The sequence below is a fragment of the Homo sapiens genome, chromosome 22 (genome assembly GCF_000001405.40).
Source record: "Homo sapiens chromosome 22, GRCh38.p14 Primary Assembly".
Lineage (NCBI taxonomy): Eukaryota > Metazoa > Chordata > Mammalia > Primates > Hominidae > Homo > Homo sapiens.
The window spans coordinates 36036786-36053675 of NC_000022.11; the positions used below are offsets into that span (position 1 = coordinate 36036786).

At 46.2% G+C, this 16890-nt stretch overlaps 1 annotated feature.

Moving 5' to 3' along the window:
• Nucleotides 15241-16440: an enhancer, noted in NCBI's record as "MED14-independent group 3 enhancer chr22:36448074-36449273 (GRCh37/hg19 assembly coordinates)". NCBI's record gives its function as "activates an origin of replication core promoter dependent on BRD2, BRD4, P300/CBP and CDK7 cofactors, and independent of MED14, by STARR-seq in HCT116 cells {active_cell/tissue: HCT116}" and the evidence as "EXISTENCE:reporter gene assay evidence [ECO:0000049][PMID:35650434]".

Consider the following 16890-nt stretch of genomic DNA (forward strand, 5'->3'; position numbering starts at 1 on the left):
ACAACTACCAGGTGCAAAACTAAGTGGGGTTTTTTTGGTTTTGTTTTTTGGATTTTTTTTTTTCGTTTAATCCTCACAACCGACCAGAGAAGCAGGTAGTATTACATCTTATTTTACCGATGAGAAAACTGAGACCCAGAGAGGTGAAACGACCAGCTCAAGGTTACACAAGATGGTTAGTGACAAAGAAACTCTTGTCCCCCCACTCCATGTCCACTGCCTTCCAGTGCTTCACCCTGTGCCTTTCAGAACTTTTTAGGGTGTTTTACTTTGGGCAGATACAAATCTCATAGGGAAGAGGGGACAAAAAAGTCTAACATTTTTTTCTCTGAACCTGAAGTTAATAACTTCTTCATCCTGCTTTCCACTGGGAGCATAAGCTTCTGAATTTTTGTTTTGTTGAGGCATGGGGTCTTCATTGTCTTCCTTGTCCCTGCTGGCACCTGCTCAGGTATCTTCCTCTGGGTCCCTGTCCTGCTGTCAGTATCGATCCGCACTGGGCTCCACCCAGCTGACCTATCTGATCCTTGTTGTTGAGGCACTGAGATTGCCTCTGTCAAGGACATGGGGAAACCTTGGGTTTTCCCACTGTTCTGGGGGCCTTGGGACGCTCCAAGAGGCTGTCTCCAGCCCCTGCAATGTAGACACAGAGGAGGCATCCTTACTCCTTGGACATCGCGCTGGGAGGGGAAACACTGCAAAAGCCACCGCCTCCAGGGCCTGTAAAGAGAAGCCAGGCTCAGGTCTTTGCTCCTTCCAGATGCCACAGTGACCCCTGGGCTCCGTTTCTCCCTCTTTCCTCCCTGAGGCTCCATCTGTAAAGAGGCAAGCGAGGAGGATCCTCCAGAGACCCATACAAGACTCTGGTTCGCCTCCCCTCTCTCCTCAGCCCCTGCTGCCTTTGCCTCTCCCAGGTGGGGCTGCCAAACCTATCCTGGCTGATTCTGCTTCGTTTGAACCTCTGGATTTTGTAGGACATAGACTTCATGTCCAGAATCATGTAGGTTTCAAACTTTTGGAGTACAAAAGATGAGGCTTTTGAAACACAGAGACTTTTCTCTCCAGCCACACATTTCAAAACATATTTTGAAATTCAAAAGCTGAGTTCAGACTCTTCTTCTCTTTGCATTTCCACTATAATAGTTTTATTCCTGAGGGCGAGAACAGCAGAAGATACCTGGGAGAGTGAGGGAGGAAGAACATATGTTAATATTTTTCAGCAATGACAATGTCTGCACTACGTCCTTCTGCTGTGAATTCAGGGAGATAGTTCCAGCCTCCCCGGGAGTCAGGATGGGGATATATGATAACATTCTGGCCAGGGGAAGATGGGTAAAAGTGACAGGGGCCACTTCTAAGCTTGGCCCCAAAAACATCCCTGCCAATCCTCTAGCCCTCTCTTTTCCTTCCACAGCAGCTGCAGAGACCATGAGCTGAAGACAGAAGCATCACAAGAGGAAAGGAGCCTGGATCCCTGAGTCATCGACTGGAGGAGAACTGCATAAGAAGCTGCCCCAGGCCTGGCACGGTGGCTCATGCCTGTAATCCCAGCACTTTGGGAGGCTGAGGCGGGCAGATCACCTGAGGTCAGGAGTTCAAGACCAGCCTGGCAAACATGGTGAAACCCTGTCTCTACTAAAAATAGAAAAATTAGCTGGGTGTGGTGGGCACTCGTAATCCCAGCTACTTGGGAGGCTGAGGCAGGAGAATTACTTGAACCTGGGAGGTGGAGGTTGCAGTGAGCCGAGATCACGCCACTGCACTCCAGCCTGGGTGACAGAGCAAGACTCTGTCAAAAAAAAAAAAAGGAAGCCGCCCCAGCTGCATCAGACTGTGATATGAGAGAGAAATAAGCCTTAATTTTGTTAAGCCGCTGAGGTTTGGTTTTCGCTTGTTGTTGTTGTTTTTGTTTTTATAGCAGCTTGTGTTCTTTATGCTGACTAATATAATATCTAAATATTGTTCTGCCTCATAATCAATATATTTAAAAAGCCAGAGATGAGGAATCAAAAGCCTGACTGCTTTGATTAAAATCTATGAAGTTGAAGGTGCATAACATGCATGCCAATTTTAAGATAATATTAAATATTATCTTTGGGCCAGGTGCAGTGGCTCACGCCTGTAATCCCAGCACTTTGGGAGGCCAAGGCGGGAGGATCACTTGAGGCCAGGAGTTAAAGATCGGCCTGGGCAAACATAGTGAGACCTCCACCTCTACAAAAATAAAAATAATTAGCCAGGTGTGGTGATGAACACCTGTGGTCCCAGCTACTCAAGAGGCTGAGGTGGAAGGATTGCATGAGCCCAGGAGGTTAACGTTGAGGCTACAGTGAGCCATGTTCAGGCCATGGCACTCCAGCCTGGGCAACAGAGCAAGACATCATCTCCAAAATAAATAAATAAATAAATAAATATTATTTTTGGACAACAGTCAAAGCTTGATATTGAAGGAGAGTGATGGGAAAGAAAACAAGAATGACACCTCAATTCTTTTCTTTCAATCAGCCTGGAATAATAATTGACATATTGCGACACTCAATAAGCAATAATTGAATGAATGAAAAACCTGTTAACCAACACAATCTCGTAAAACTCAGGCCATTTGCTATTTTAGGTCTTATGGGGAAGAGCAACGGAGGTAGAGAGAAAAAAGTAGGAAATATAGAATGGCAAGGTGGAAATCATTTTCCAGAAGGCATGCCCCTTTGCCCATTCCCACTTTTGTCACTTAAAATGGTGCTTATCAGTTACTGATATTCTGTAGCCTGCTTGAATTTCTGTAGCAAATTTCTGTAGCCAGCTTGAATTTCTCCACAGAAAATGGATTTTTATTTTCTATTGCATTGTCAGGCTGCAAATTTTCCAAACTTTTATGTTGTGCTTCCTCTTGAAAGCTTTGCCACTTAGAAATTTATTCCACCAGATACCCTAACTCATCTCTCTCAAGTTCAAAGATTCACAGATCTCTAGGGCAGGGGCAAAATGCCACCAGTCTCTCTGCATAGCAAGAGTGACCTTTACTCCAGTTCCCAACAAGTTCCTCATCTCCATCTGAGACCACCTTAGCCTGGACTTTATTGTCCATATCATTATCAGCATTTTGGTCAAAGCCATTCAACAAGTCTCTAGGAAGTTCCAAACCTTCCCACATCTTTCTGTCTTCTGAGCCCACCAAGTCTCTAGGAAGTTCCAAATGTTCCCACACTTTCCTGTCTTATTCTGAGCCCTCCGAACTGTTCCAACTCTGCCTGTTACCCAATTCCAAAGTTGCTTCCACATTTTCAGGTTTATTTATAGCAGCACCCCACAGTCTAAGGTACCAATTTACTGTATGAGTTCGTTCTCACACTGCTATGTAGAAATACCTGAGACTGGGTAATTTGTAGAGGAAACAGTTCTAATTGACTCGCAGTTTAGCACGGCTGGGGAGACCTCAGGAAACTTACAGTCATGATGGAAGGGGAAGCAAACGTGTTCTTCTTCACATGGCACCATGAAGGAGAAGTGCAGAATGAAGGAGAGAAAAGCCACTTATAAAACCGTCAGATCACTGGGCGTGGTGGCTCATGCCTGTAATCTGAGTTTGCTGCCCTTGATGTTCAGTTGGGAGGGAGGCTAGACATGTTAATACGTAAGGATGTGGCTGGTGCACGATACTAAAAATACAAAAATTAGCCGGGAATGATGGTGTGTGCCTGTAGTTCCAGCTACTTGGGAGGCTGAGACAGGAGAATTGCTTGAATCCAGGAGGCGGAGGTTGCACTGAGCCGATATCATGCCACTGCACTCCAGCCTGGGTGACAGAGCGAGACTGTCTCAAAAAGAAAAAAAAAAAAAATTAGCTGGGTGCCGTGGCAGGTGCCTAAAATCCCAGCTACTCAGGAGGCTGAGGTGGGAGAATCACTTGACCCTGGGAGGCGGAGGTTGCAGTGAGCCAAGATCACAACACTGCACTCCAGCCTGGGCAACAGAATGAGACTCCATCTCAAAAAAAACTCACGAGATTCACCATCACAAGAACAGGATGGGGAAACTGCCCTCATGATTCAATTACCTCTTACCAGGTCCCTCCCACAACACTTGGGGATTATGGGAACTACAATTCAAGATGAGATTTGGGTGCGGACACAGCCAAACCATTTCAATCGCTAAGACTGGAATCACGCAGAAAGGTTTTTGGGGTTTGAAGGAGCTCAATAAATAACACCTCTCTTCCCCATCAAGTCAGGAACCAATTTAGGACAGACACAGGAGACAGAGAGAGGAAATCAAAATGTTTGATTTATTACCAATAAACACTAGGTTTGAGTATGCAGCTGAACTGGGCGTGCAGCCTAGGTTGTGCTATGAATGGATGTGCTGTGTTGGAAGAATGTGCTATGAGCCTTGACTCTTGCATTAGATAGACTCAACGACCGTTGGCATAGCTGGAAAACCAGAAGCTACCGCTTGACAAAAAGCAAACCAGAAATCTCCTTCTCAGTGGTGAGGCAAATTTAAGGAAAAGGGCAGGAAGGAGTTGAGCCAAGCCATTTCCAGAAATCACTCCATCTGTCAGCTTTGGCTAAGATATGCAGCACGAACAAACAGCCCCAAATGGTCAGTGACTTACAACCAGAAAGAACAAGAACAGGCCAGGCGCGGTGGCTCATGCCTGTAATCCAGCACTTTGGGAAGCTGAGGGGTGTGGATCACTTGAGGTCAGGAGTTTGAGACCAGCCTGGCCAACCTGGTGTAACCCCATCTCTACTAAAAATACCAAAAAATTAGCTGAGGCCGGGTGCAGTGGCTCATGCCTATAATCCCGGCACTTTGGGAGGCCAAGGCCAGTGGATCACCTGAGGCCAGGAGCGCGAGACCAGCCTGACCAACATGGTGAAACCACATCTTTACTTAAAATACAAAAATTAGTCTGTAATTCCAGCCACTCCTGAGGCTGAGGCAGGAGAATCAGTTGAACACAAAGGCGGAGGTTGTGGTGAGCCAAGATCACGCCATTGCACTCCAGCCTGCACAACAAGAGCAAAACTCTGTCTTAAATAAATAAATAAATAAATAAATTAGCTGGGTGTTGTGGCGTGCTCCTATAATCCCAGTTACTCAAGAGGCTGAGGTGGGAGAATAGCTTGAACTCAGGAGGTGGAGGTTGCAGTGAGCCAAGATTGCGCCATTGCACTCCAGCCTGGGCAACAGAGTGAGACTCTATCTCAAATAAAATAAAAAAGAACAAAGGTTCTTGTTCACCCACCCATTGTGGGTTGGCTGTATGTTGTCTTCACTCTGGGACCCAGGCTAATGGCCACTGCTAGGCTGGTCTGTGTCAGAGGGAAGAGAGGGAGACACTGTAGAAGATACAAGGGCCACACTGGTATTCCGCTCTCATTCTGTTGGCCAAAGCAAGTGACCTGGCCAAACCTGCCTTCAATGGGGCGGGGATATTTCATCCTCCAAAGGGAAGGGCAAGGAATATTTTTGAATAATAACCCACTCTACTACACCCCTCCTGGAGATAAGACAAAGACATGGGATTTCGTTTTCCCAATCTGTACCCAAAGGCCAAAGGAGAAGCAACAGATGCTGTTGCCACACGCACACCCCCTTGGCCTACTGTGGATGTTCCCTGCGGGTTCTGCTGACGGTTCCCACACATCCCACATACATCATCTGCTTCCCAACTTCAATGCCTGCCAGGTTGCTGCCTCTGGCTGTAGGGCATGTTGGGCCTATGAGCAGGACAAGCCCAGAATGCTGGAGAGCTAACCCTCCCCACCACCTGCCAGGAGCAGACCTTACCCAAGGAGGGGAAGAAGTCGTGTATACATTCCTCAGCTTCCTCACCTGTTGGTAAGACAATTTTTTTTTTGAGTTGGAGTCTCGCTCTGTTGCCCAGGCTGGAGTGCAGTGGTGCGATCTTGGCTCACAGCAACCTCCATCTCCTGTGTTCAAGCGATTCTCCTGCTTCAGCCTCCTGAGTAGGTGGGACTATAGGCATGCGCCAGTGCCACCACACCTGGCTATTTTTTTTTTTTTTTTTAGAAGAGACAGGGTTTTGCCACTTTGGTCAGGCTGGTCTTGAACTCCTGACCTCAGATGATCCTCCCGCCTCGGCCTCCCAAAGTGCTCACAGGTGTGAGCCACCGCACCTGGCGGTAGGATAATTTTAAGAGACACAGTCTCTCGGAGGACACAGTGGGAGTGAGCGCTGTTTGTCCACAATGGTAACTTGCCTATTAATGTCCATTTTCCTCTCTTTTTTTCCTCCTCTATCTTCGTTGCCCACTGCCTCACTGAGCAACCTGAGATCACCTCCCAAATAAACCAATGCACCCAAATCCCTGGGTCAAGCTCTGTTTCGAAGGAACTCACCTAAAACAGGAATGGAAGTTTCTCCTCTCAAAGTCCTATTTCCTGAGCAATAGAAAAAAAAAAAAACCTGTGGTGTGTATACACAATGGAATACTATTCTGCCTTTAAAAAAGAAGGAAATCCTGTCATTCGCAACATGAGTGAGCATTACACTAAATAAAATAAGCCAGGCACAGGAAGACAAGCACCGCCTGATCTCGCTTTATGTGGAATCTAAAAAAGTTGAATTCAGAGAAGCAGAGAGGAGAATGGTGGTTTCCAGAGCTGGTCGGGGAGAAGGGAATGGCAGTTGCTGGTCAAAGGGTAGAAAGTTTCTGTTAGACAGGAGGAATAAGTTCTGAAGATGTATTGCACAACATGGTGACTATAGTTATACTAACGTTTTATTTGTTTGTTTGTTTTGTTTTTGAGATGGAGTCTCGCTCTGTCGCCCAGGCTGGAGTGCAGTGGCATGATCTCGGCTCACTGCAATCTCTGCCTCCTGGGTTCAAGCGATTCTCCTGCCTCAGCCTCCCAAGTAGCTGGGAGGTACCCAAGGCGCCCACCACCACACCCAGCTAATTTTTCTATTTTTAGTGGAGACGGGGTTTCACCATGTTGGCCAGGCTGGTCTCGAACTCCCGACCTCCGGTGATCCACCCGCCTCGGCCTCCCAAAGTGCTGGGATTACAGGCGTGAGCCACCATGCCCGTCCACTAATGTATTATATACTTGGAGAGTAGATTTTAAATGTTCTCACCACAAAAAATGGTAGGTATATGAGATTATGGATATATAATGTGTTTGATTTAATTATTCCACAATGTATACATATATGAAAACATCACACTGTACACCATAAATATATACAAAAATTGACAAAGTTTAGTCAGTTTTTTAAAAATAAATATTTTTTTAAAGACCTATTTCCTTTTTTTAGAAAACTTTTGGGCCAAGCGCGGTGGCTCACGCCTGTAATCCCAGCACTTTGGGAGGCTGAGGCAGGCGGATCATGAGGTCAGGAGATCGAGACCATCCTGGCTAACACGGTGACACCCCGTCTCTGCTAAAAATAAAAAAAAAAATTAAAAAAATTAGCCAGGCATGGTGGCAGGCGCCTATAGTCCCAGCTACTCGGGAGGTGGAGGCAGGAGAATGGGTGTAAACTCGGGAGGCAGAGCTCGAAGTGAGCGGAGACCGTACCACTGCACTCCAGCCTGGATGACAGAGTGAGACTCTGTCTCAAAAAAAAAAACAAAAAAAAACTTTTAAGTTCAGGGGTACATGTGCAGGTTTGTTATATATTAAACTTGTGTCATAGGGGTTTGTTGTACACAGTCTTTCATCACCCAGGTATTAAGCCTAGTACCCATTAGTTATTTTTCCTGATCCTCTCCCTCCTCCCACTCTCCACCCTCTGATAGGCCTCAGTGTCTGTTGTTTCCCTCTATGTGCCCATGTGTTCTCATCATTTAGCTCCAACTTATAAATGAAAACGTGGTATTTGGTTTTCTGTCCCTGTGTTAGTTTGCTAAGGATGATGGTCCCTAGTTCCATCCATGTTCCTGCAAAGGACATGATCTCACTCTTTTTTATGGCTGCGTACTCTTCCACGGTGTATGTGTGCCAGATTTTCTTTATCCAGTCTACCACTGATGGGCATTTAGGTTGATTCCATGTTTTTGCTATTGTGAATAGTGCTGCAATGGACATACACATCCATGTATCTTTATGATAGATTGGTCTATATTTCTCTGGGTATATATCCAGTAATGGGATTACAGGGTTGAATGGTATTTCTGTTTTTAGGTCTTTGAGGAATCACCACATTGGTTTCCGCAGTGGCTAAATGAATTTACACTTCCACAGTGTATAAGTATTCCTTTTTCTCCGCAGCCTCGCCAGCATCTGTTATTTTTTGACTTTTTAATATTAGCCATTCTGCCTGGTGTGAGATGGTATCTCATTGCGGGTTTGATTTGCATTTCTCTAATGATCAGTGATGTTGAGTTTTTTTCATATGCTTGCTGGCTACATGTATGTCTTCTTCCTTTTCTTCTTCTATTTTTTTTTTTGAGATGGAGTTTTGCTCTCGTCGCCCAGGCTGGAGTGCAGTGGCCCAGTCTCAGCTCACTGCAATCTCTGCCTTCCAGGTTCAAGTGATTCTCCTGTCTCAGCCTCCCAAGTAGCTGGGATTACAGGCGCTCGTCACCACGCCTGGCTAATTTTAGTATTTTTAGTAGAGATGGGGTTTCACCATGTTGGCCAGGCTGGTCTCAAACTCCTAGCCTCAAGCAATCTGCCCCCTTGGCCTCCCAAAGGGCTGGGAGTACAGGTTTGAGCCACTGCTTCTGGCCCAAGTATGTCTTCTTTTGAAAAGTGTCTGTTTATATCCCTTTGCCTATTTTTTAATGGGGTTGTTTTTTTCTTGTAAATTTGTTTAAGTACTTTATAGATGCTGCATACCAGACCTTTGTCAGATGGATAGATTGCAAAAATTTTCTCTCAATCTGTAGGTTGTATGTTGACTCTGTTGAGCAATTCTTCTTTTTTTTTTTTTTTGAGACGGAGTCTCGCTCTGTCGCCCAGGCCGGACTGCGGACTGCAGTGGCACAATCTCGGCTCACTGCAAGCTCCGCTTCCCGGGTTCACGCCATTCTCCTGCCTCAGCCTCCCCAGTAGCTGGGACTACAGGCGCCCGCCACCGCGCCCGGCTAATTTTTTGTATTTTTAGTAGAGACGGGGTTTCACCTTGTTAGCCAGGATGGTCTCGATCTCCTGACCTCATGATCCACCCGCCTCGGCCTCCCAAAGTGCTGGGATTACAGGCGTGAGCCACCGCGCCCGGCCGAGCAATTCTTCTTCTGCCTACTCAGCCTTACAGCACAAAACAGACAATGTGAGTGCCAGTTACTCTTAAACAATAACATTGATATCTCTGGCCACTGAACCTCTGACACCCAGTGCTGGCTCCCCACATGCTTATGGAGAGGCTTCTGGCTTCTTGTCAACATCTTGACTTTGTGGCCATTACAGCTGGGGTCAGCCAGTCTCCACCTTGGATGTCTCAGGAGCCCTTTCTTTCCAGCCTGTAATTTAGAATTTCTCAACTGTCCCTTCGTATCCATCAGCATGCTTCATGCATAGTTCATTCACATTCAACAAATGCTGAGTGGATCCTGATTGGCAGAAATGTTCCAGGGACTGGGAATGTGACCCATGAAGATGACAGACCAGAACCCTAGTCTCCTAAAATGTATATTCTGGTGAGGAGAGAGAAAAAATGAGCAACAAAAATGTTAGATGAGCCAGGCGTGATGGTTCATGCCTGGAATCTCAGCACTTTGGAAGGCTGAAGCAGAGGATTCGCTTACCCAGGAATTCGAGACCAGCCTGGGCAACATAGTGAAACCCCATCTCTACAAAAAATACAAAATAGCCAAGCATGGTGGTGTGTGCCTGTAGTCGCAGCCACTCAGGAGGCTAAGGAGGGAGGATTGCTTGAGCCCAGGAAGGTCGAGGCTGCACTGAGCCATGTTCGCACCACTGCACTCCAGCCTGGGTGACAAAGCGAGACCCTGTCTCAAAAAATAAAAACAAAAATAAAAATAAAATAATTGGCTGGGCGCGATGGTTCACATCTGTAATCTCAGAACTTTGGGAGGCCAAGGTGGGCAGATCATTTGAGGTCAGAAGTTCAAGACCAGTCTAGCCAACATGGTGAAACCCCATTTCTAATAAAAATACAAAAATTAGCTGGGTGTGGTGGCCCACACCTATAATCCCAGCTACTCAGTCCCGAAGCAGGAGAATCACTTGAATCCGGGAGATGGAGGTTGCAGTGAGTCAGGATTGCACCACTGTACTCCAGCCTGGGTGACAGAGTGAGACTCCGTCTCAAAAAAAAAAAAAAAAAAAATAGACCAGGCGCGGTGGCTCACACCTGTAATCTCAGCACTTTGGGAGGCCGAGGCAGGGAGCCTCCTTCGAATCACCTGAGGTCGGGAATTCGAAACCAGCCTGACCAACATGGAGAGACCCCATCTCTACTAAAAATACAAAATTAACCGGGCATGGTGGCACATGCCTGTAATCCCAGCTACTCGGGAGGTTGAGGCAGGAGAATCACTTGAACCTGGGAGGCGGAGGTTACAGTGAGCCGAGATCACGCCATTGCACTCCAGCCTGGGCAACAAGAGTGAAACTCTGTCTCAAATAAATAAATAAATAATAAAATAAAATAATAATTTTTTAAAAAGACCCTACTTTGGCACTGTAGCATGCCTTACAGGCATTGCACTGGAATTCTACATTCTATTTTTGCTCTCTGCCTCCCTCCCAGACTGGGGGCTCTGTGGAGGCTGGAATCTCTCTCCCTCATTCTCTCCATCCCCATCCCACCACCCCCACTTTAGGAATGGAATGTTTGGAACACACAGTAAGTGTGTCAAGAAACACAGAGTGAAGGACTCCTTCAAGGCCCATGTGATACATCACCTTACTCTGTGAAATCTTTCCTGATGCCCGCTATCCCCACCCTCCTCATGCCTCCTTAGCACTTTGCAACAGTTCCAGTGAAGCACTGAACACATCCGTACTTTTTTTTTTTTTTTGAGACGGAGTCTTGCTCTGTCGCCTAAGCTGGAGTGCAATGGTGCAATCTTGGCCCACTGCAACCTCCACCTCCTGGGTTCAAGCGATTCTCCCTGCCTCAGCCTCTAGAGTAGCTGGGATTACAGGAACCTGCCACCATGTCCAGCTAATATTTGTATTTTCAGTAGACAGGGGGTTTCACCATGTTGATGTTGGCTAGGCTGGTCTTGAACTTCTGACCTCAGGTGATATGCCCTCCTTGGCCTCCCAAAGTGCTGGGATTACAGGCATGAGCCACCGCACCAGCCACATCCTTACTTATTAACATGTCTAGCCTCCCTTCCAAGTGAACATCAAGGGCGGCAAACTCAGATACCTACAAGGGCCAGGCAGGGTAAGTGCCTGATTGTGGCAAGTGGAGGCAACTAGGGGCAGTAGCAAACCAATTTTCATGTAATGCTGGAAATTTGAATTTTTATGAGAAATCTCCAGATATTTCAATGTTGGCAATTAATTATTTTGAAAAACTAAATGAGTACTCGCTTGTAGAGATCTCTTTGTTGTTCTTGTTGTTTGTTGTTGTTGTTGTTTTGAGACGGAGTCTTGCTCCGTCGCCCAGGCTGGAATGCATGGCACGATCTCTGCTCACTGCAAGCTCCACCTCCTGGGTTCACGACGTTCTCCTGCCTCAGCCTCCCTAGTAGCTGGGAGTACGGGTGCCTGCCACCACACCCGGCTAATTTTTTTTGTATTTTTAGTAGAGACAGGGTTTCACCGTGTTAGCCAGGATGGTCTCGATCTCCTGACCTCGTGATCCGCCCGCCTCGGCCTCCCAAAGTGCTGGGATTACAGGCGTGAGCCACCATGCCCGGGCCTGAGATCTCTTTTTAGTCAAAATGATATTCTCAGGATCTTACACAGCAAAGAACAAATGATGATTGCTCAAGAATATTGGTTGAAGGTGGGGCACGGTGGCTCACGCCTGTAATCCCAGCCCTTTGGGAGGCCAAGGGAGGTGGATCACCTGAGGTCAGGAGTTCGAGACCAGCACGGTCAACATGGGGAAACCCTGTCTCTACTAAAAATACAAAAATTAGCCAGGACTGGTGGCATGTGCCTATAATCCCAGCTACTTGGGAGGCTGAGGCAGGAGAATCGCTTGAACACAGGAGGCGGAGGTTTCACTGAGCTGAGATCATACCACTGCACTCCAGCCTGGGCAACAGAGGGAGACTCCGTCTAAAAAATAATAATAATAAAAAGATATTTGTTGAATGAATGAATAAACCAAACAAATGGGAATGAATCAGATCAGCTCTTCTCGCTGGAGTCCGTCTATGACTTCATCATTTGGCTTAGCCAAGATTGGATTCCAGATGAAATGGAAGGTGGGCTTAGTTTTCTTTTTTACATCAGGTGATGAGTTTTTTTACTTTTTTTTTTTTTTTTTTTTTTTATTGCCTCACTACCTGGAATGTCTCCGGTGGCCCTGGGGCTTTCTGGGAAGGAGATCAAATGTCTCTGAAACAGGCTCATTTCCACAGGTGGCTCAGCTGGGTTCATACACTAATCAGATGGAAGACTCATGACTAAGCGCTTAGACTCCAGATAAGTTGCACAGACATTAATAGAACTGTAGAATGGTAACAGTGGAAACACTCTCAGCTGTCACTTGTGGACTAGACTCTACTTGTGCGACCCCAATTAGCAGAGGAGGAAACTGATTGGGAAAGTGACCTACCCAAGGACACATTCTGGGGAGGTCATCTCTCTTCCATCCACTGCTTTCTTTGGCTCTGCTCAGATGGGAGCCATACGTGTTCATCTTTCACCATTTCCAAGACAGCGACTAGTCTTGAAAGGAATGCCCGAGTACGTTATCAGCCTCCAGACTGGTTGACAGCGTGGGCTGGCTATAGACTCTTCTTGGACTAACACCAGGACTGCTACCCTGAAAGGGCTTCTCTAGAAACAGAGAATTGGGTTGAATACAAATATTCTACTACCAGAATCCCAGTGAGGAAATCTGAGGCATGTGAGTCAAGAGGAGGGATTGACTCTGTCCTATTTTTGTATCGCCAATAGCACCTAGCAAAAGGCTTTCAGTGTAACAGACACTAAGTATGTGTGTGTTGAGCAGTGCCCACTATGTGCTGGGTATTGTCCTAAACAATGTTTCTCAGTGTTATCTGGGTGTCCCTGGGGATCCCTAAGACCCTTTCAGGGGATCCTCAAGGTAAAAAGAAAAAAAGCCGATTGTTATTTACCTTTTTCACTCTAATTCTCTCCTGAGTGCACAATGAAGCTTTCCAGAGGTGACATGATGTTCAGCAGCTTATAGAACGTGTGCCTGGCCAGGTGCGGGGGCTCACACCTGTAATTCCAGCACTTTGGGAGGCCAAGGCAGGCAGATCACCTGAGGTCAGGAGTTCGAGACCAGCATGGCCAACATGGTGAAACCCCGTCTCTACTAAAATTACAAAAATTAGCCAGGCATGGTGGCGTGGGCCTGTAGTCCCAGCTACTCCAGAGGCTGAGGCAGGGGAATTGTTTGAACCCAGCGGGCAGAGGTTGCAGTAAGCTCAGATCGCCCCAGTGCACTCCAACCTGGGCAACAGAGTGAGATGCTGGCTCAAAAAAAAAAAAAAAAAAAAAAAAAAAAAGAACGTGTGCTTGTCATTCTGTTTTTTGAAATTTTCTCTGTTTTAATTTCAAATATGGTAAATATCAACAGATATAACCCATTATAACAAGTTATTTGAAGTCTTCAATAATATTTAACATCAAAATTTTTGAACCAAAAATGTTGAGATCCACTATTCTAGAGGATAGAAGAAGCTAATAAGAACTATTAAAAAAAAAATAGAGCAGAGTAAGAGGAATTGAAAGGGCCTGGGATGGGTGTGAGTGATGGGGGACGGGTAGCTACCAGCATTAAACAGAGTGATAGGAGAAATAAACCTATAAATCAAATATCTGGCTGGGCATGGTGGCTCACACCTGTAATCCCAGTACTTTGGGAGGCCGTGGCAGGCGGATCACCTGAGGTCAGGAATTCAAGACCAGCCTGGCCAACATGGTGAAACCCTGTCTCTACTAAAAATTCAAAAATTAGCTGGGCGTGGTGGTGGGTGCCTGTAATCCCAGCTACTCAGGAGGCTGAGGCAGGAGAATTGCTTGAACCCAGGAGGCAGAGGTTGCAGTGAGCCAAGATAGTGCCATTGCACTCCAGCCTGGACAACAAGAGTGAAACTCATTCTCAAAAAAAAAAAAAAAAAAAAAAAAAATCTGATCTCTGAGTTGTCACTTAAAATCCCCTAATTTTTCCTAGATTTAAAGGTTTTTATTGTGAATTGAATCATAAATATATAAGAATTGATAGGCCAGGAAGTCAAGACCAGCCTGGGCAACAAAGCAAGACCCCATCTCTATAAATTAAAGCATAAAAATAAATAAATAAGAAATAAAAGGGGTGCAGTGGCTCATGCCTGTAATCCCAGTATTTGGGGGAGGGTGAGGCAGGAGGACTGCTTGAGATCAGGAGTTCAAGAACAGCTTGGACAACATAAGGAAACCCTGTCTCTCTCTCTCTCTCTTTTTTTTTTTTTGTTTGAGACAGAGTCTCGCTCTGTCACCCAGGCTGGAGTGCAGTGGCACAGTCTCCCTTCATTGTAACCTCTGCCTCCAGGGCTCAAGCGATTCTCCTGCCTCAGCCTCCCAAAGACCCTATCTCCATACAAAAATTAAAAAAAAATTAAAATAAAAATATTTCTAGCACTTAAAAATTCTACCATAGGCCCTCCAAGATAACATCACTTTCTAGTCCTACAAGGGTAACCTCTATTCAGATTTTAAAAATTAGTTCATTGGCTGGGGTGCGGTGGCTCATGCCTGTAGTCCCAGCACTTTTTGAGGCCAAGGCAGGCAGATCACCTGAGGTCAGGAGTAGAAGACCAGCCTGGCCAACATTGTGAAACCTCGTCTCTATTAAACATACAAAAATTAGTGGGCATGATGGTGGGTGCCTATAATCCCAGCTACTCGGGAGGCTGAGGCACGAGAATCGTGTAAATCCGGGAGGCGGAGATTGCAGTGAGCCGAGATCGTGCCGTTGCACTCCAGCCTGGGCAACAAGAGCGAAACTCCGTTTCAAACAAACAAACAAACAAACAAAAAATACAAAAATTATCCAGGTGTGGTGGTGGGTGCCTGTAGTCCCAGCTACTTGGGAGGCTGAGGCAGGAGAGTTGCATGAACCTGTGAGGCAGAGGTTGCAGTGAGCCAAGATCATGCCACTGCACTCCAGCCTGGGTGACAGAGCAAGACTGTCTCAAAAAAAAAAAGAAAAAATTTATTTATATTTTTGTAGAGAAAGGGTCTCACTATATTGCCCAGGCTGGTCTTGAACTCCTGGCCTCAAGTGATCCTCCAGTCTCAGCCTCCCAGAGTGCTGGGATTACAGGTGTGAGTCACTGAACCAGGGCTCTATTCTGATTTTTTAGTTAAACATTCCCTTGCACTCCTGTGCAGTTTTACTATCTATGTGTATCCATATCTTGTTTGGTTTTGGAAAACGAAGAAGCAAGCTCAAAACATGGTAAGTAAAAGGCAATATTGCTACTACTAGGTAAGGTTTCCTAGGAGAAAATGGGCCGAAAGTGTGGATCCACGGTCTGGCTCCAGCTGTCTGCAAGAGGGGCTTCCAGGGAAGTCCGTGGATATGGGGGCCTCTGAAAGAGCTGTAGGGTGAGCTGTGAACTGCAGTCTGGCAGAAAAACATTCAAGGAGAGGAGCCTGCTCCATTTTTTGGTTTGTTTGTTTGTTTCGCTTCTCCGCTCATTGGTCTATCTTCAGGTCTCTGGAGCGGGCCAAAGCTGAACACTAACACCAAGCTGAAACGCCTGCAGGGAGAATAGAAACTCTTCTAGCACCTGGTCAAGGCAAGTCAGCCCTAGACAACAGTTAAAACTCCACGTCTCTCAGCATTTTCTTCCTTGAACTCAAGCTAGGATCTTGGTGGTAACACCCAAACATGTCTGCCTATCTGCTGAGTCACAGGACTTCCTGGGGACTGGTTGGACTGGTTGCCCTCCCTCCACACTGTCTGGGGTATGACTGTCACTCTCTCATGTAGTAGACCTCTGGCTTACTGAACCCACATCTTCTCATTCCCTAATCTGTACTCTTTGTTTCAATGGAGCTTCTCCTCCTGTAGCTTGCCAAGAAAGCCTGCGTGGGAAAGTATTTTGAGATCTTAGATGTTTGGAAATTTTTATGTCTAAACATTTCAAATATTCATACCTGGTTAATACCTGCACTGATAATAGAATTTTACATTACAGATTACAGATCGTTTTCATTCCAACCTTTGACAGCATTGGGTCATCGTCTAGCCCTCAGTGTTGCTATGGGAATACTGAAGCTATTCTGATTCTGTGTTTCCCTCTCTGGAAGCTTATAGAATCTTCCTTTTTCCTCTCAGGATTCTGAAATTTCACAGCAACGTACCTTAACTTGGGTCTATTTTCATCCATCTTGCTCAGCACTTGTGAGGGTTCTTCAGTGTAGAAATATGCATTCTGCAAAATTTCTTGAGTTGATCATTAATGATTTCCTCCCCATTCTCTCTGTTCTCTTCTAGAACCCCTGTTATTCTGATGTTGGATCTCCCAGACTGGATTCCCTTCCTTTCTCTTCCCTTCCCTTCTCTTCTCTTCTCTTCCCTTCCCTTCCCTTCCCTTCTCCCTTCCCTTCCCCCTTGCCTTCCCTTCCCTTCCCTTCTCCCTTCCCCCTTCCCTTCCCTGCTTCTCCCTTCCCATCCCTTCTCCCTTCCCTTCCCATCTCTTCTCCCTTCTCCCTTCCCATCCCTTCTCCCTTCCCTTCTCCCTTCTCCCTTCCCATCCCTTCTCCCTTCCTTTCTCCCTTCCCTTCTCCCTTCCTTTCCCTTCCCAT